The following is a 22367-nucleotide window of genomic DNA, read 5'->3' as shown; positions in this document are numbered from 1 at the left end:
TGACCCAATACTTCCATATATTTTTAAATAAACATAGGTGTTTACTTTTCTGATCTGCAAGTTTGAAATTTACAAAATGATCTTCAGGCCTCTCAAAGTATCAAAGAACTGAAACTCACCATATAACCACATCCAGACAATGAGATGCAGGATCCCTCATTCATTATTCTTGCTTCCTTGTCCCTCTGTAATTCCTGTTTCTTGCACATTATTGCATTTCTTCCCTACTATATAAACCCCTAGTTTTCATCAGTCAGGGAGATGAATTTGAGACAGCTCCCATCTCCTTGGCTGTATCACCTGATTAAAACCTTCTTCATTGGCAATATTCATCGTCTCAGTGATTGAGTTCGTGTGTCAAACAGCAGGACCTAGACCAAATCCCTGGTGTTTTGGTAACACACTTTTATGGGGTACTTAAAGTAGTCAAAATCATTGATAAAGTAGAATGGTGGTTACCAACGACTTGGGGAGGGTGTAATGAGGAGTTATTGATGAATGGTATAGAGTTTTAGTTTTGCAAGATAAATAGAGTTCTAGAAATAGGTGGTGGTAAAGGTTGCACAACCATATGAATATACTTAATATCACTGAACTGTACACTCAGATATGTTTACATCTGTTCCTCTTCCTTCAGTTGTCCTTATTGTATTTGCTAGAAGGCATTAGGGCCAATTATCCCCCATAAGTATGGAAAGCCTTTTCTCTGTTCAAACGTTCATCAGCATGAAGGGTCCAAAAATGGCCAGAGGACAATCTGAGCTTCCAATTAGTCAGAACAATGGCTGAGTTTCATCATCAAAGCTTTCAACTTCTGGTCCTAGAACTCAAATGTCACCCAACTGAAGGTCACAGACAAGAAAGCCAAAATTATTCACAGATTATTAAGTAAGATAGCAAGAGAGATCACTTTCATCTTCACTTCAAGTTGTCCAGGCTCTGTTATGTCATGCCATCTCCTGCATAGCTATTCAGGAGAGGGCATGCCTTTGTGACCTCTAATTTAAAGCATATGCCACATACTGTAAGAGAATGACCAAACCTCATTGAAGTTCATCTTCTACTAGCAGTTATCTAAGAATTAAGAATTCTATCCTACCATCTTCTTGTGCTAGCTGCTTCTGAATGGTAGGCATTTTAGAAACATTATTGGATTTGTCTGTGGTGTGAGCTCTTTGCTATGATTCTTCACGTTAAAATAAATCACCTTGTTGGAAATGAGGTGGTATGTCCACCAGATAATGATCAAAAGCATTGGAAAGATGTTCTCTGAACATATGAATGTTGTTTCAGGTAGAAGATCTACAGACAAGTAACACAAATCCATACTGAATAATATTTATCCATATAAGGACCCTCCTCCGTGGTAAAAGTGGGTTTAATGCCACTGGTCAGTGAGCTGGTTCCCTGAGGAATGATACCATATTAGGGATTCAGATTTGGGTTCTATTACTGGCACATTGAGTAACAGCAACAGAGGTAATCAGATTAGCCTTAGTAATGCTATCTTGTTGAGCCCACATATTAATCCCATCTAGGTCACTATGAGCACTTTACACACAGGATCATTTATTTATTCCTATTGAGAACAGGAAGCCCATTCTGTTACAGCATCCCCCACTGACATCCCTAATCTACAGAGAAAAAAAATGAAAACAGACTGTAGGGCTCTTCAAGGAAGAGCAGGATGCCCCTTTACCAATATACTTGTTAAATCTTGCTGAAGTGCGTGTCCTCTGGTTATCTTAGAAGTGTATAGATAAAAAACTGGTTTCTCAGATTACACATGAAGATAAATTCATTGCACATTTCCATCACTCTGAAATTTTAAACTCCTCTAAAGTAGGGCTTCTCAACTTTAATGTGCACATGAATCACCTAGAGATCTTGTTAGAATTATAACTTCTGATTTAGTAGATATAGGGTAGGAGGGTAGAGCCTTCTAGTTGATGCTGCTTGTCTATGTGTCTCACTTTATGAAAGTAGGCTTTATCACAGTGTTTCTAAAGTGTGGTCCCCTGACATAAGCATCATCTTTGCATGAGAGCTTGTTCAAAATCCATATTTGCGGCTCCATCCCAAACTATTGCATTAGAAACTCAGAGATCCCAATTCAGCAATCTGTGTTTAAATAGCCATCCATGAAGCTGGGCATGGTGGCTCATGCCTGTAATCCCAGCACTTTGGGAGGCAGAGGCGGGTGGATCACTTGAAGTCAGGAGTTCGAAACCAGCCTGGCAAACATGGTGAAACCCCGCCTCCACTAAAAATAAAAATAAAAAAATATTACCCAGGCATGGTGGTGGGCACCTGTAATCCCAGCTACTTAGGAGGCTAAGGGAAGAAAATCTCTGGAGCCTGGGAGGCAGAGGTTGCAGATTGCACCATTGCACTCCAGCCTGGGCGACAGAGTGAGACTCTGTCTTAAAATAAAATAGCCATGCATATCACCCTGATGCTTGCTGAAATTTGAGAACCTTGTTTTATAATGTGCTGTAAAAGTTCAGACATTTTGACTTCATTAACTATAAGCTATTACTGAGACTTGGTTTCAGTTAGCTAATCTAGCTGACTATTAATGCCACTTTTCATTGTGGTAGCCAAAACATCACACCCTGAATTCAGGGTGAATGCATTTGTGCAAAAGAATTCAGCTTCAGCAAGTTTTGTATTTTGTTGCCCATTGTCTAACATCTTTAGAATTCACTCCCATGCATGATTTCTAGCTCCCTGCCAATAGTGACAATGACCTATACCTTTTTTTGTTTTGTTTTGAGACGGGGTCTCGCTCTGTCGCCCAGGCTGGAGTGCAGTGGTGTGATCTCGGCTCCCTGCAAGCTCTGCCTCCCAGGTTCACGCCATTCCTCTGCCTCAGCATCCTGGGGAGCTGGGACTACAGGCACCCACCAGCACGCCCGGCTAATTTTTTTGAATTTTTTTAGTAGAGACGGGGTTTCACTGTGTTAGCCAGGATGATCTCGGATCTCCTGACCTCGTGATCTGCCCGCCTCGGCCATCCAAAGTGCTGGGATTAAAGGCATGAGCCACCACGCCCAGCCAACCTATACCTATTTTGTAGTATAGGCTATCTTGTTTTCCTTTGATAGAAACAGAAACATAATTATTGGGGCTTTTCCCTTAAAGGGTTTGTCTACATGAAACTATCCCAAAGATGCCAGAAGTACTCATCAAGTCCCTGATGAGTGAGCTGACAATTCAGTGCACATAGTATGTCTATACAAAATAAAGAAGCAATCATCCTTACATAATGTTTTGTAAAACCAGCTTTTGGTATGTATTTTGCTGTAAAGATCAGCTATTATTGATTTCTGACAAGGCATTTCAATAGAGATATTTTTCACTAAGGCTCCATTTACATGATTCAGCAGTCAACAAAACCAGAGCTGGGGCCGAATCATCCTACAGGAGTTCAGAGAAGACCTACACGTGGATAGCAACAACACGTGATCACAGGAAACCCACGAAGAGAACAATGTTTTCCCAGAAATAAAGGGGTCTATTTCATACATACAAAGGACCTACACTCCAATCCACTGCACAGACAAATAATTTACATCTGCAAAATATATGTATGGATAATGATCCTTCATGTGAAGCTTGAGGCTAAAATATACCAATGACGCATTCAAGGGATATTCAGCTTTAGGAGGTTTCTATCTTGCTATAGCAACTTTTGAAAAAATTAAACATATAATTTTAGGAAAACGAATGAGATCATTGCCACACAGATATATTAAATAAGCTAGGGAAACAATGGAGGATATTACATGTACTGATGGTCGTGGTCTTTAGTATAGGTAAAGCAACTGTGGCCAGTTTTCCCTACGGCGGCCTTCTTTTAGGTTGAACAGTATGAAGTTGCTGCGTTTTGACCAATTGGCACCTCCATGTGGCAGTTTTATGTGTCTTAACCTAATAGTTCATGAAAAAAAATTTATTTTATTCACTCATGGGAGAATCTGTCTTTATTCTTTGCATCAGGAATTAGAATCCAGACAATAAATATACCTATGTGCACATGTAAAATTTACTCTTTTATTATTAGAATAGGTTTTACTTATTCCCACTCTGCATCTTTCTGATTTCAGTAGTTGCAATCTCTAGAGATCACTGTGATTATGGGTAAGATGATAATGACCTTATTCCAGAGGGGGAGTTTGTAACCTAAGCTAAGTCAATAAGCAATACACACAATCATCTATTTGTTCAGAAATGGGTATGTTACAATGGTGGGCTAAACAGAGAGGGGTTGGTGACTGTTGAAAGTGTTATGCATATAAATTTGAAAGTGGAATAGGATAGACTGAGATTATGAGGGAAGACTGTCTTAAAATGAAGTCATGATCAATGAAGTAAAAGCTGGCAGATAGTAATACCGCTAAACTCTTGGGTCAGTCCTTGCCTGAAGCCTGAGAGGAATTCTAGACCTTCAGATTCATAAGCCAATGAATATGCTATATTCTGTGTGGCAATTTTAGTTATGTTTTTATTACTTTTACAATAAAGTATCTTAACACATATGTGAAGGCAGTCATTCTATCTATATATATAAAATCATTAAAAATATATTAACATAAATACATAAATATTATGCAAACTATTGGTAAATTTATTACGCTCTATAGCTCCAAAACAATTTACATTCAAAATCATACAAATATGTGTGTACGTATATATATATATATATACATATATCTTTTATAAGTATTAAGTTGCCACTCTAGAAGTGAAGAAATGCATGTCTTATACACACACACACACATTTGTATGTATACAAATTACATTTCTTCTCTTCTAGAGTGGCAACTTAATAATTATAAAAATGTTATATGCAGCTAGTGGTAATGAGTGCTGGGTTTGGATTTCTGATCTGGTATGTGGATACTAATGCTTTGGGATTCCACTAATGTGTTAGGTGTAAACAGATGTGAGACAGAAGTAAAGTGGTAGGTAGGAGTGATGGGGAATAATATTATTGAAATTCCACATTTTAAAGATTTCCAAATCCTCTGTTACCTTGTGAGGGGAAATCTTCATTCTTAATGACAAAGTTATTTCAGCCATTGATTATATTCCAAGACAGAAGTGCCTCCACTACCAGTTTCTCTAGTTGTGGTATGAACCTCAATATTCAGACAAATTGAATAACAGCTGATTATATCTGACAGGCTTTCAGAGGGCCTGGGGTCAAAAATAAAACCTTTTGAAGTGACAAATAGATGAAATCATTAAAGAAGTGGTACCTAATAGCATGATTCAATTTGTTCTAAGTAAAAAAAGAAAAAAAAAGAAAGAAAAAAACAAAGTGAGCAACAGAAGCCAGAAGCTGTCAGAGGCACTTGATATATTTCTGTGATGGCATTTATAATCTCAAGGGATTGAGCGGGGAGCTTTATGTGGAAATGTGTGTGGGATATGTGTGTCAGAAAGAGAGGGAGAGAGGGAGGGAGAAGAGAGAGAGAAAGAGAGATCAAGACAGAGAGAGAAGTGCGAGAGTGTTTTGTTGTTGATGAAGCAATTTTAAAAATATCACCTCATTTGGGCCTTGCAACAAACCTACACAGTGTGAAGGGCAGTTATTATTATCCTCATTTTAAAAATGATGAAAGGGAGGCTGATGTCCTTAGTGGCTAAATGACTTTAGTACAGACAAATAGCTAGTGAATGGTGGACTTGGGATTATATTTCATATCTTCGGACTGCAAAATCCTTAAAAGTTTTACAACTCCTTCATATTATAATGCACCACTCATAAATGAAATCTAAAAAGCTGCTAATACAGTTTCAAATTGAATATTTTGTCACATCCTAGACTAATAAATCCAGTTGTATCTATATATAGTTATACATATCTCTTCAAATTTCCTTTAGGAGGTAAGATTATCATATATATGTATGTGTGTGTATATATATATACACACACATATATATGCATACAAACAAATTATATATATTATAAAGATATATATCTAGATCTACCTATATATACACTATATAAAGATCTATGATACACACACACACACACACACACACACACACACACACAAAACAAGATTTGTTAGGCTAGGATGTGACAAAATAAATATAACCTGGTAAATTTATTGAGAGAGAAAAGAAAAACTGTGTTTTGTAAATGTGTAAATATATATATACGTCTTAAAGAGATATATAAAGATATATAATTACATATCTTTATAAAGATATATTTAAGATATATCTATATTATATATAGACATTATATATTATGTGTATGTATATATAAAGAAATATATATAAAGATATTATATATAAAACATATATATTACATCTTTGTTTATCCTTTTGCAAAAGACAGTTTTTTTCCTCTCTCAATAAAATTATCAGGTTATATTTATTAAGGTGAAAAATAAATATATGATGTAGTTTGCCTAAAACTCTTAGGTGCTTCTGAACTTTCTCATAAAATACTTAAACATTTATTTGGACACCTTTAGGCATCTTTAAAGCTACTCTAAATCTTCTTCTACCCTTTCAATTCCCACATGAAAGAGAAAGCCAAATAATTTTTTCTCTGTTTCACTAGCAGTGAGAAGTGGCCCTGTCATCCAGTTCTGGGTCATAAAATATCAATGTAAAAATTTGTGCTTCTGAGAAAGTTTGGCTTTCTCACAGTAAAGAAGCAAGCTTTCGTGCAGATTTTACTTTTTTCTTGCTTTAAATCTGAGCACAATGACTAGAGAGCCAGCAGTAATCTGTCCACCTAAAGGAAAGTTGAAAGCAATCCGGGAGGCAGCCCTGACATGTTTGCACTACTGAAAACACACTAGCAACTGCCATCCTCTGGATTTGTCTTGGTGGGAGGTGGAGGCAGAGGGAAGGGAGGTGTTGTAGGTTTTACTGTTGTTTATATTCATTCACATCTGAAATATCCAAATAATGCTTTTTTGGTCCCCAAAACTCTTGAAACTACTTAACACATGTGCTATGTCACTACTTAGGACAGACAATATTAACAGCATCATCAGGCATTTTAAATATGCACCATTCTTACCTAAGTGCAAATGGGCACCCCTCAATCAAAGAATAAAAGGGGTCCCTATCATGCTAACGTTCTTCAGCACCTTTGCATTTCTGTTGGATCAAGTATATGGTACCTTATAAGTATCTTGTTGATGCAGACTGACTTTTCAGACTAACACTATATGCTCCTGCTAAGTGACTATTTGCTACCATTGCCACCTCCTTTTCCTTATTTATGCTTTTCCATCTAGCAGCAATACTTTCTCACAATTTTCTCCTCTGCAGTGCTGCCTGTTGATGACTAGGAATACTCTTTACAAGCTTATCTACAGCAATATCTCTTATTTAAAGCCTTGCCTGCATTATCTCTCATTTAAAGCCTTGCCTGGTACTTGTAACCAAAATTATGTTCTTCCTTTTAATCCCCTTGGGGAAATTGTTACTGCTCATGTGGCATTAATATCACACATTTTATTGTACTATTATGTGGAGTAGACACATTCCTTGTCATTTGCAAAATTATCACCCTCACTCCCAGTAGACCATACAGCTAGCTCCTTGAGGGCAGGAAGAGTATGTGACTCATTTTCCTTAGTCATACAGTATATAGCACAAAGGTGATAGTGGTGGGATAGCTATGGGTACCAAGGCTGAAAGAGTTTATTCTCTGCAAAAAGTGATTCCCTTCTTCATGCCCTCCTCTACTGCTACAAATTTCTCAAGAATGAGAGTAAGCAAAGAGGAAGGGCTATCTTGTAGATACAATTTTAGAGAGTTTGATATTTATGTATAAAATCTAAAACAGAGATTTCCAAATCAGACATTTTTAAAAACTACCTCTGCATAATATTGTCGGGGGTTGGAAAATTCCAGCACACAGGCCAAATCCAGCCCAGTGGGCTGATTTGATAAAGTTGTATTGGAACCCAGCCACGTATTTGTTTCTGTTATATCTAAGTCTGCTTTTGCACTATAAAGGAAGAGTTGAGTAGATGCCAGAGAGACCCATACAGCCTACAAAGCCCAAACTATTTACCCTCTTGCCCTTTATAGAAAAACTCTGCAAACTGTTATTAGGAAGGTTATAAAACAATATTAGAAAAACAAGTTTTTAGCATTTTTCTTGATGGCAGAACTTCTCTAACCCTTTGATTACTATTACAAATTTTCATATCATTTTCCTGAGCTGTCAAAATTATTTTCACCATAGAAAAATTTTTAACAGACGTTATCTTCTCAGGCTAAGTGATCTGAGGATCGCATTTGGCAAATGCTGCTTTAAAAAAGTGCAAGAAAAGAATTGTTAAAATGATTTGCAGTTTTCCCTTAAAGTAATTGCCTCATCTGTTAATATTTAACCCTGTGAATGTGCTTATTATTCTAGTAATTTTCTAGGACACAATTAAGTGACATTGAAAACTGCTCTGGCCCATGATAAAAGAAATACTTAAGCTTCCTTGAGATAAAAAGTTACAGCATACCTTGTGCTATAAACAAGTTAGGTGGTAATTATCTGAGTGATGTGGATAATTAACATCAAAACAGCAGCAAATGTACTTGAGGGGAATCTACGATGTTGGACTTAAATTATTTAATCTAATTTAAATGGAGTCAGGAATACCAGACTTTAGATATATTAATGTGGATAGATCACACAATTATAAATTCCATTAGATGTAGAACTTTCTGTATTTTCTTATAGTTCTTAAATTACTGCTTTCCTTAACCTCAATGTTTTCCCTTAGAAACTATGGTTGGTCTCATTTATATCCCTTCTAAAATAACTATGTTTCTTTAACTTGAATAAACATAGTGTTGATGTAAAAAGGTACTAAATCAAAATGTATTTTTTTCCAGTTTTAGAAGATTGCACAAATTATTTAGTGATCAAATTCATTTAACCGAACAGTAGTGAAACTGCCTTTGCAAAAATGGTAACAGGGAGAAAATTATGACAGTGAAAGAGATCTGACCTAACCTACTCCATCTTGCCTTTAACCTCTAAATTGCTCTTAGTCATTCCTGGGCATGGGCCAAGCTAACTTTGGGAGAAATTTAGTTTATAGTTTACATGATAATAGCCCTTCCCAGAAACTAAACTGCCTTTGTAAAACTAATGAAAGTCCACCAGGTTAGGAGGCTGAGAGGGGCCTGAATATTGCTAAGACCCCTGTCTTGGGGTCTGGATTGCGACCTCTCTCTGGTTATATAACCTCAGACCATATGTCTTCCTACTGTCAATGGAGAGGCAGCATGATGCAGTAGAACCTACTATGGCTGTGAAGTCAGACCCAGGTTTGAGTCTCAGTCCCTCTGCTTAGTATTACACAACTTAGGCTTAAACAATTACCAGTCATTGTTCTAGAGGTTACAAGATCTGCAACTTCTCTAATTATTTCTGTAATTAACATCACTATTTTAGAACCTAAGATTGGCTTTTTAAGGTGTTTTTACAGACTTTTGCATTTCTGAAAACCTGATGACTCCACCTAGGCCAGGGACTACTCTGTGGCTCCAACTCAGAAGCACACTCAGTCCAGAAGGACCATTTTGTACACCTTATCAACCAATCAGCAATTTTCCTAGCCCTCTGCCTGCCAAACTGCCCTTGAAAAGCCCTAGCCTCCACATTTTGTGGGAGGCTGATTTGAGTAGTAATAAAACTTTAGTCTCCCATTTAGCCAGCTCTACATGTATTAAACTCTCTCTATTGCAACTCCCCTCTCTTGATAAATCAGCTATATCTGGGCAAGATGAACCCATTGGGTGGTCAGATAGGTCCGTAAGGAATTATAATTATGTTGATGCATGTGTACTCCAAAGAGACTACTTAGGACTATCTCACAAAGTTATATTCAATATATAAAGACCCACAGCCTCAGATTTATACATCATGAAAACTTATTGGTTTTATCAGAGGCATTTGAACCAAAGATACTCCATTATGAAGAGGGGCTGGGAAAAATAAGGCTGAGACCTGTTGGGCTGCATATCCAGGGGATTAGACATTCTTAGTCACAGGATGAGATAGGATGTTAGCTCAAAGTACAAGTCACAAAAATCCTGCTGATAAAACAGATTATGGTAAAGAAGCTGCCAAAACATGCCCAAACCAAGATGGTGAAGAAAGTCACCTCTGGTCATCGTCAGTACTCATTATTAGCTAATTATAATGCATTAGCATGCTGAAAGACACTCCCACCAGAGCCATGAGAGCTTACAAATGCCATGGCAACATTTGGAAGTTGCCCTATATGGTCTAAAACAGCAGGGAGGAACCTCAATTCCAGGAATTGCCCACCCCACCCCTTTCCTGGAACACTCTTGAATAATCTACCCCTCGATTAGCACATGATCAAGAAATAACTATAAGTATACTCAGTTAAGCAGCCCACGCCACTGCTTGCCTATGGAGTAGCAATTCTTTATTCCTTTACTTTCTTAATAAATAAATTCTTGTACAAGGATCAAGAACCCTCTCTTGGGGTCTGGATTGGAACCCCTTTCTGGTAACATAACCCCAGACCAGAGGCCTTCCTATTGTCAATGGTGAGGCAGCATGATGCAGTAAAGCCTACTATGGCTGTGGAGTCAGACTCAAGTTTGAGTCTCAGTCTCTGGTATTACACAACTTAAGCCTTTACATGAGAAAAAATATCTGACAAATAAAGTTGCAGTACTTGAGTAAAGATACTAAAGGAACTTTATCTCATATTTTGTCAGTCAGTGGTATAACTGGGTTTCACCTATTCAAAATAAAATTTATTGATTTTTTTAATATTCTTTTTGGTCAATGTTTTGTTTCCTTGACCTGTTAAGACAATTGAGAACATCATTAATAATACCTATCAAGGTAAAATGTTGTTTTGAATAATTTATGTTAGAGATATTTATTTAATATAATTATGATAAGAATTTTAAACAGATACATAAGATATACAAAATGCTGTAAGAAAAATAAGTAATACAATTGGAGTAAAAAAAGTAACATCTTAGAAAGGTTAAGTAATTGAAATATGTATTGAGGATATTTCTGCAAAATTACCAACGTTTTTCATAATTTTCATAATTTGTGTTCTTGTTGATTTATTACATAACAACAGTATTTTAATTGTCCGAGGAGAGAAACAGATTTTCTTTGTACTAATGTCAGGACAAAAACAAATCCACAAAATCTCAAAAAGGAAAAATTAAAGATGTCTTATGTTTTTCATGACTACCATTTTACACCTCTGATGAAACTGAATCAAAATGGCCTCATCATTATTAGTCATCATTTGTACACACTCTTACTATGCAAGTGGATTGAAAAGGAGTACGTGTAGAATACTTACTCTAATCCTTCAAGGAATTTATTATACAGAAGGGTAGAGAATTGAGAACTGTCACATATTAGAGTGTTTGTATTGGAAATATCGATACTGGTCTATAATTATCTATTTATCTATCTGTCATCTATCTAGTTGTGCATATGAAAACATATGAACCTATATGGTATTAATAATTATTAAATAATAAGCTATTTGTGCTACATTTTTATTTGAATGGCCTGAAAGAAAGTTCATCATAAACTCACCTGAACTCTAAATAGCAAGAATCTTGGGGACATGAAAATTTTCTCTTTTCAAGTATTCTTTTCATGATTTTGTATACTCATCAAACAATGAAATCATAATTTTAAAACAATCTCATGTGATTTTTTGCATGAAAAAATTATATCTGAAATATATTGTTACATAGAAATGTAAATATGCATGTATGAGGAATAAAATCATGGTTGAAAAATATAAAGCTGAAGGCTCAGCCTCATATCCTTTTAAGTGTAGTGACACAGAAATGTCTTAGGTACACAGAGAAGGACTTACAGCACTTTTAAAACTTGAGCATATTATTTAAAATATAATTTATTATTACTAAAAGAGAAAGTTATTTCAAATCTTTATTTAAAAAAATCTCCACGGGGGAGGAGCCAAGATGGCCGAATAGGAAAAGCTCCGGTCTACAGCTCCCAGCGTGAGCGACGCAGAAGACGGTGATTTCTCCATTTCCATCTGAGGTACCCGGTTCATCTCACTAGGAAGTGCCAGACAGCGGGCGCAGGTCAGTGGGTGTGCGCACCGTGTGCCAGCTGAAGCAGGGCGAGGCATTGCCTCACTTGGGAAGTGCAAGGGGTCAGGGAGTTCCCTTTCCGAGTCAAAGAAAGGGGTGACCGACGGCACCTGGAAAATCGGGTCACTCCCACCCGAATACTGCGCTTTTCCGACGGGCTTGAAAAACGGCGCACCAGGAGATTACATCCCGCACCTGGCTCAGAGGGTCCTACGCCCACGGAGTCTCGCTGATTGCTAGCACAGCAGTCTGAGATCAAACTGCAAGGCGGCAGCGAGGCTGGGGGAGGGGCGCCCACCATTGCCCAGGCTTGCTTAGGTAAACAAAGCAGCCCGGAAACTCCAACTGGGTGGAGCCCACCACAGCTCAAGGAGGCCTGCCTGCCTCTGTAGGCTCCACCTCTGGGAGCAGGGCACAAACAAAAAGACAGCAGTAACCTCTGCAGACTTAAATGTCCCTGTCTGACAGCTTTGAAGAGAGCAGTGGTTCTCCCAGCATGCAGCTGGAGATCTGAGAACGGGCAGACTGCCTCCTCAAGTGGGTCCCTGACCCCTGACCCCCGAGCAGCCTAACTGGGAGGCACCCCCCAGCAGGGGCACACTGACACCTCACACGGCAGGGTATTCCAACAGACATGTAGCTGAGGGTCCTGTCTGTTAGAAAGAAAACTAACAAACAGAAAGGACATCCACACCAAAAACCCATCTGTACATCACCATCATCAAAGACCAAAAGTAGATAAAACCACAAAGATGGGGAAAAAACAGAACAGAAAAACTGGAAACTCTAAAAAGCAAAGTGCCTCTCCTCCTCCAAAGGAACGCAGTTCCTCACCAGCAACGGAACAAAGCTGGACAGAGAATGACTTTGACGAGCTGAGAGAAGAAGGCTTCAGACGATCAAATTACTCTGAGCTACAGGAGGACATTCAAACCAAAGGCAAAGAAGTTGAAAACTTTGAAAAAAATTTAGAAGACTGTATAACTAGAATAATCAATACAGAGAAGTGCTTAAAGATGCTGATGGAGCTGAAAACCAAGGCTCCAGAAGTACGTGAAGAATGCAGAAGCCTCAGGAGCTGACGTGATCAATTGGAAGAAAGGGTATCAGCGATGGAAGATGAAATGAATGAAACAAAGCAAGAAGGGAAGTTTAGAGAAGAAAGAATAAAAAGAAATGAGCAAAGCCTCCAAGAAATATGGGACTATGTGAAAAGACCAAATCTACATCTGACTGGGGTACCTGAAAGCGATGGGGAGAATGAAACCAAGTTGGAAAACACTCTGCAGGATATTATCCAGGAGAACTTCCCCAATCTAGCAAGGCAGGCCAACGTTCAGATTCAGGAAATACAGAGAACGCCACAAAGATACTCCTCAAGAAGAGCAACTCCAAGACACATAATTGTCAGATTCACCAAAGTTGAAATGAAGGAAAAAATGTTAAGGGCAGCCAGAGAGAAAGGTCAGGTTACCCTCAAAGGGAAGCCCATCAGACTAATAGCGGATCTCTCAGCAGAAACCCTACACGCCAGAAGAGAGTGGGGGCCAATATTCAACATTCTTAAAGAAAAGAATTTTCAACCCAGAATTTCATATCCAGCCAAACTAAGCTTCATAAGTGAAGGAGAAATAAAATACTTTACAGATAAGCAAATGCTGAGAGATTTTGTCACCACCAGGCCTGCCCTAAAAGAGCTCCTGAAGGAAGCACTAAACATGGAAAGGAACAACCGGTACCAGTCACTGCAAAATCATGCCAAAATGTAAAGACCATCGAGACTAGGAAGAAACTGCATCAACTAACGAGCAAAATAACCAGCTAACATCATAATGACAGGATCAAATTCACACATAACAATATTAACTTTAAATGTAAAAGGACTAAATGCTCCAATTAAAAGACACAGACTGGCAAATTGGATAAAGAGTCAAGACCCATCAGTGTGCTGTGTTCAGGAAACCCATCTCACGTGCAGAGACACACATAGGCTCAAAATAAAGGGATGGAGGAAGATCTACCAAGCAAATGGAAAACAAAAAAAGGCAGGGGTTGCAATCCTAGTCTCTGATAAAACAGACTTTAAACCAACAAAGATCAAAAGAGACAAAGAAGGCCATTACATAATGGTAAAGGGATCAATTCAACAAGAAGAGCTAACTATCCTGAATATATATGCACCCAATACAGGAGCACCCAGATTCATAAAGCAAGTCCTGAGTGACCTACAAAGAGACAGACTCCCACACATTAATAATGGGAGACTTTAACACCCCACTGTCAACATTAGACAGATCAACGAGACAGAAAGTCAACAAGGATACCCAGGAATTGAACTTAGCTCTGCACCAAGCGGACCTAATAGACATCTACAGAACTCTCCACCCCAAATCAACAGAATATACATTTTTTTCAGCACCATACCACACCTATTCCAAAATTGACCACATACTTGGAAGTAAAGCTCTCCTCAGCAAATGTAAAAGAACAGAAATTATAACAAACTCTCTCTCAGACCACTGTGCAAACAAACTAGAACTCAGGATTAAGAATCTCACTCAAAACCGCTCAACTACATGGAAACTGAACAACCTGCTCCTGAATGACTACTGGGTACATAACGAAATGAAGGCAGAAATAAAGATGTTCTTTGAAACCAATGAGAACAAAGACACAATATACCAGAATCTCTGGGATGCATTCAAAGCAGTGTGTAGAGGGAAATTTATAGCACTAAATGCCCCCAAGAGAAAGCAGGAAAGATCCAAAATTGACACCCTAACATCACAATTAAAAGAACTAGAAAAGCAAGAGCAAACACATTCAAAAGCTAGCAGAAGGCAAGAAATAACTAAAATCAGAGCAGAACTGAAGGAAATAGAGACACAAAAACCCTTCAAAAAATTAATGAATCCAGGAGCTGGTTTTTTGAAAGGATCCACAAAATTGATAGACCGCTAGCAAGACTAATAAAGAAAAAAAGAGAGAAGAATCAAATAGACGCAATAAAAAATGATAAAGGGGATATCACCACCGATCCCACAGAAATACAAACTACCATCAGAGAATACTACAAACACCTTTATGCAAGTAAACTAGAAAATCTAGAAGAAATGGATAAATTCCTCGACACATACACCCTCAAAGACTAAACCAGGAAGAAGTTAAATCTCTGAATAGACCAATAACTGGATCTGAAATTGTGGCAATAATCAATAGCTTACCAACCAAAAAGAGTCCAGGGCCAGATGGATTCACAGCCGAATTCTACCAGAGGTACAAGGAGGAACTGGTACCATTCCTTCTGAAACTATTCCAATCAATAGAAAAAGAGGGAATCCTCTCTAACTCATTTTATGAGGCCAGCATCATTCTGATACCAAAGCCTGGCAGAGACACAAGAAAAAAAGAGAATTTTACACCAATATCCTTGATGAGCATCGATGCAAAAATCCTCAATAAAATACTGGCAAACCGAGTCCAGCAGCACGTCAAAAAGCTTATCCACCATGATCAAGTGGGCTTCATCCCTGGGATGCAAGGCTGGTTCAATATACACAAATCAATAAATGTAATCCAGCATATAAACAGAGCCAAGGACAAAAACCAGATGATTATCTCAATAGATGCAGAAAAGGACTTTGACAAATTTCAACAACCCTTCATGCTAAAAACTCTCAATAAATTAGGTATTGATGGGACGTATCTCAAAATCATAAGAGCTATCTATGACAAACCCACAGCCAATATCATACTGAATGGGCAAAAACTGGAAGCATTCCCTTTGAAAACTGGCACAAGACAGGGTGCCCTCTCTCACCACTCCTATTCAACATAGTGTTGGAAGTTCTGGCCAGAGCAATTAGGCAGGAGAAGGAAATAAAGGGTATTCAATTAGGAGAAAAGGAAGTTAAATTGTCCCTGTTTGCAGATGACATGATTGTATATCTAGAAAACCCCATTGTCTCAGCCCAAAATCTCCTTAAGCTGATAAGCAACTTCAGCAAAGTCTCAGGATACAAAATCAATGTACAAAAATCACAAGCATTCTTATACACCAATAACAGACAAACAGAGAGCCAAATCATGAGTGAACTCCCATTCACAACTGCTTCAAAGAGAATAAATTACCTAGGAATCCAACTTACAAGGGATGTGAAGGACCTCTTCAAGGAGAACTACAAACCACTTCTCAAGGAAATAAAAGAGGATACAAACAAATGGAAGAACATTCCATGCTCATGGGTAGGAAGAATCAATATCGTGAAAATGGCCATACTGCCCAAGGTAATTTACAGATTCAATGCCATCCCCATCAAGCTACCAATGCCTTTCTTCACAGAATTGGAAAAAACGACTTTAAAGTTCATATGGAACCAAAAAAGAGCCCGCATCACCAAGTCAATCCTAAGCCAAAGGAACAAAGCTGGAGGCATCACACTACCTGACTTCAAACTATACTACAAGGCTACAGTAACCAAAACAGCCTGGTACTGGTACCAAAACAGAGATATAGATCAATGGAACAGAACAGAGCCCTCAGAAATAACGCCGCATATCTACAACTATCTGATCTTTGACAAACCTGAGAAAAACAAGCAATGGGGAGAGGATTCCCTGTTTCATAAATGGTGCTGGGAAAACAGGCTAGCCATATGTAGAAAGCTGAAACTGGATCCCTTCCTTACACCTTATAGAAAAATCAATTCAAGATGGATTAAAGACTTAAACGTTGGACCTAAAACCTTAAAAACCGTTGAAGAAAACCTAGGCTTTACCATTCAGGACATAGGCATGGGCAAGGACTTCATGTCTCAAACCCCAAAAGCAATGGCAACAAAAGCCAAAACTGACAAATGGGATCTAATTAAACTAAAGAGCTTCTGCACAGCAAAAGAAACTACCATCAGAGAGAACAGGCAACCTACAAAATGGGAGAAAATTTTCGCAATCAACTCATCTGACAAAGGGCTAATATCCAGAATCTACAATGAACTCAAACAAATTTACAAGAAAAAAACAAACAACCCCATCAAAAAGTGGATGAAGGACATGAACAGACACTTCTCAAAAGAAGACATTTATGCAGCCAAAAAACAAATGAAAAAATGCTCATCATCACTGGCCATCAGAGCAATGGAAATCAAAACCACAATGAGATACCATCTCACACCAGTTAGAATGGCAATCATTAAAAAGTCAGGAAACAACACGTGCTGGAGAGGATGTGGAGAAATAGGAACACTTTTACACTGTTGGTGGGACTGTAAACTAGTTCAACCATTGTGGAAGTCAGTGTGGCGATTCCTCAGGGGGATCTAGAACTGGAAGTACCATTTGACCCAGTCGTCCCATTACTGGGTATATACCCAAAGGACTATAAATCATGCTGCTATAAAGACACATGCACACGTATGTTTATTGTGGCATTATTCACAATACCAAAGACTTGGAACCAACCCAAATGTCCAACAATGATAGACTGGATTAAGAAAATGTGGCACATATACACCATGGAATACTATGCAGCTATAAAAAAGGATGAGTTCATGTCCTTTGTAGGGACATGGATGAAATTGGAAGTCATCATTCTCAGTAAACTATCACAAGAACAAAAAACCAAACACCGCATATTCTCACTCATAAGTGGGAATTGAACAATGAAATCACATGGACACAGGAAGGGGAATATCACACTCTGGGGACTGTTGTGGGGTGGGGAGAGGGGGGAGGGATAGCATTGGGAGATATACCTAATGCTAGATGACGAGTTGGTGGGTGCAGCGCACCAGCATGGCACATGTATACATATGTAACTAACCTGCACAATGTGCACATGTACCCTAAAACTTTAATAAAAAAAAATAGTGATAACGATTAAACAGTATTTCAAGATGTCTACAAATCTGTAATATGACATGAAAATATCTGCGATACCTGTTGATGACAAAATCAGAGATACTGCCACTGTCTTTTGTTTACATTCATAACTGAAGGAAGTGCTAAATTTCTTTTAGAAGTTAGCGAAAATAAAGGAGTAAATTTGTTTTAACTAAAAAAAAAAAAAACAAAACTCCACAAATCCCCCTGCAAAACAGCATTTTAAACATTAAAAAGTATAAAATGGTAAAAGTATTTTTATTTTTAGTATTTTAACATATTCAGTATCAAATACTATTAAATGCCTACTTTGCCACAGCTTTATGATAAATGCTATTCATATACTCATGGACAAAAGAGTTTTTTCATTTTTTCTGGAGCCAGGAGCAAGAGATAAATTAAGCAAGTATAATAAGCAGTCATGTGTTTATATACACATAACATATATGTATATCATAAATTGCAAATTACAGTTATATATTTCTTCTTTAATAATATTTGATTTCCTTAAACATGTTCCAGTTCTGAGTTTTTATGTGTAAATTTTATTCATTACTACCTTGATTTGGTAGACATTATTCTATTTCTGTACCTTTTTCCATAAATTTCTATTTCAGATTCTATTTCAATGGATTTAAAATATTATAATACCACTAAAATACAATTCTCACTTTCATTGAAGCTATTGTTATCCAAATTTTATATTAATTTCTATTTTGTTTCTCCAATATTATAAAAGCTATTTCTTCTGCAATTGAAGCACAAGCCTCACTTCAGAAACACGTAAAAGTCAATTGACTATCGCAAGAACAAAAAAACCAAACACCACATATTCTCACTCATAGGTGGGAATTGAACAATGAGAACACATGGACACAGGAAGGGGAACATCACACTCTGGGGACTGTTGTGTGGTGGGGGGAGGGGGGAGGGATAGCATTAGGAGATATACCTAATGCTAAATGACCAGTTAATGGGGGCTGCACATCAGCATGGCACATGTATACATATGTAACTACCCTGCACATTGTGCACATGTACCCTAAAACTTAAAGTATAATAATAATAAAATAAAATTAAAAAAAAAAACAAAGAAAATGTCAAACTTCTGCCTATAATACTCAGCTATGGTTTTCTGAAACAACATAGTTCAAAAAGAGCCATCGACCTGATGGCCTTTTGACACACAATGATGGATGCAATGTATCTATTACTTTACTGCCAGAATGTTCTCCAAGAGAATGAAACAATCAATGAAGAATAATAAATCTAAACTGGGTAGAAGGTTTGCTTGTTTTAAATGTATTAAAAGAGAAACAATGGGTATCTCACTTCTTACCTTAAACAAAGATCAACTTAAACCTGAGACCTGAAACCATAAAAATTATAGAAGATAACATTGGAAAAACCCTTCTAGACACTGGCTTAGGCAAAGACTTCATGATCAAGAACCCTAAAGCAAGTGCGACAACAACAAAATGAAGATAAACAGGTGAGACTTAATTAAACCAAAAAGTTTCTGCACAGCCAGAGAAACAATTAGCAGAGTAAACAGACAACCCACAGAATGGGAGAATATCTTCACAATCTATACATCTGACAAAGGACTAATATCCAGAATCTACAAGGAACTCAGACAAATTAGCAGAAAAAAAACCCCCAATCCATTCAAATAATGGTCTAAGGACTTGAATAGACAATTCTCAAAAGAAGATATAAAAAATGGCCAACAAATATATGAAAAAATGCTCAACATCACTAATGATCAGAGATACGTTAATCGAAACCAGAATGCTGGTGCTGGGCCGGGCGTGGTGGCTCGCAGCTCACGCCTGAAACCCCAGCAGTTTGGGAGCCTGAGATGGGTGGATCCCGAGGTCAAGAGATCGACGACCATCTTGGCCAACATGGTGAAAACCTATCTCTACTAAAAACACAAAAATTAGTCGAGTGTGGTGGCAGGCACCTCTAGTCCCAGCTACTTGGGAGGCTGAGACAGGAGAATCACTTGAACTCAGGGGGCAGAGGTTGCACTCCAACCTGGCAACAAACTCTATCAAAAAAAAAAAAAAAAAAAGCCATGCCACCTTACTCCTGCAAGAATGGTCATAATCAAAACATCAAAAAATAATAAATATTGGTGGGCATGTGGTGAAAAGGGAACACTTTTACACTGCTGGTGGGAATGTAAACTAGTACAGCCACTATGGTAAACAGTGTGCAGATTTCTTAAAGAACAAAAGTAGAACTACCATTTAATCCAGCAATTCCATTACTGGGTATCTACCCAGAGGAAAAGAAGTCATTATATGAAAAAGGTGCTTGCACATGCATGTTTATAGCAGCACAATTCACAATTGCAAAAATATGTAACCAGCCCAAATGCCCATCAATAAGTAGATTAAGAAATTGTGATATATATATATATATATATATATATGTATGAATACTATTCAGCCACAAAAGGAAAAAAAATGGGATTCACAGCAACCTGGGTGGAATCAGAGACTATTATTCTAAGTGAAGTAATAATGTCAGAATGGAAAACCAAACATCGTATGCCCTCGCTTGTAAGTGGGAACTAAGCTATGAGGATGCAAAGGCATTAGAATACTACAATGGACTTTGGGGACTTGGGAGAAAGGGTGTGGGGCATGAGGAATAAAAGACTACAAGTTGGACAGTGTATACTGCATAGGTGTTGGGTGCATCAAAATCTCATTAATCACCTACCTCTAAGGAACTTACTCTTACAATCAAACGCCACCTGTTCCCCAAAAACCTATGGAAACAAAATAAAATGAAGAAATTTTGTGTATGCATATCACATATTTTTTAACTTTTTTCACAGGTTCATTGAGATATAATTTATATATTATTTAATTCACTCATATAAAGTATAAAATTCAATTTTTTTAGGGCATTAACTAGGTGGATACGCAATCACCACAATATAATTTTAGAACATTTTCATGCTCCTTAAAAGAAACCTTGCACCCATTAGCAATCTTTCCCCATTTTCCCCACTCTTTCTTTAAACCCCTCCCAGCCCTAGGCAACCATCCATCTACTTCCTAAGGATTTGCCTATTCTGGAAGGATTTGCCTATCCTAGACATTTCATGTAAGCGGAATCATAATAATATATAGTTACGTGCGACTCACTACTTTCACTTACCATGTTTTCAATGTTTATCCTTTTTGCAGCATGTATTAATACCTTTTTCTTTTTCATTGCCAATATAATATTTTATGGACAGACCACATTTCATTAATCTACTCCTCAGTTGATGAACATTTCTGTTGTTTCCTACTTTTTGTTGCTATAAATACTTGTATGCTACTTTTTGTGTAGGCATTTGTTTTAATTTTTTTTGGTGTATACACAGGAGTGAATTTACTGAGTCACGTGGTAAATCTATATTTAACCTTTTGAAGAACTGTTTCCTTTTTCTGCATGTTGCTTGCCAATTATCCCAGCACCATCCATATATTGAATAGGGTGTCCTTTCCCCACTTTATGTTTTGTTTGCTTTATCAAAGATCAGGTAGTCTGATGCCTCCAGATTTGTTCTTTTTGCTCAAGATTGCTTTGTTTTTTTCAGCGTCTTTTGTGGTTCCATACAGATTTTAGGACTAATTTTTCTGTTTCTGTGGGCATTGGAATTTGATAGTGGTTCCATTTAATCTGTAGATTGTTTTGGGTAGCACGGAAATTTTGACAATATTATTTTTTGAATTCATAAATATGGGATATTTTTCTATTTATTTATGTCACTTTCAACTTCTTTCATCAATGTGCTATAATTTTCAGTATACACATCTTTCACACCCTTCATTAAAATTACTCCTGAGTATTTTAATTACTTATATATTTGTTTTGATGCTATTATAAATGGAATTACATTATTAATTTATTTTTCAGATAGTTTGTCATGGGTGTATAGAAACAAGAATACTATTTTTATGTTAATTTTGTAACTCTCAACTTTACTGAATATGTTTATCAGCTTTAACGGGTTTTTTTTGGTGGAGTCTAAGATTTTCTTTATGTTAAGATTACATTTTCAGAAAACAGAGACAATCTCACCCCTTCCTTTGCTATTTGGATGCCTTTCATTTCTTTGCCTTGTACAATTACTCTGGCTAGTAGATTACATATAATGTTTTCAGTATTTGTAATTTGACATCAAATCCATCTGTTGTAATACACTGATTTTCACTTTTCAACTTGGAAACCTGGACATTTATCACTACTCTCTCTTTCTCTTGGTCTAGTCCTTATTAAAAAAAACCTATCAAGGTAAACCAAGATAATTATTTTTCTATAAAACAATTTTAAAGGCATTTTAAAAATTT

Source organism: Homo sapiens, chromosome 17 (genome assembly GCF_000001405.40).
Source record: "Homo sapiens chromosome 17, GRCh38.p14 Primary Assembly".
Lineage (NCBI taxonomy): Eukaryota > Metazoa > Chordata > Mammalia > Primates > Hominidae > Homo > Homo sapiens.
The sequence above is the reverse complement of the archived record's forward strand: the minus strand, read 5'-3'. Positions refer to the sequence as shown.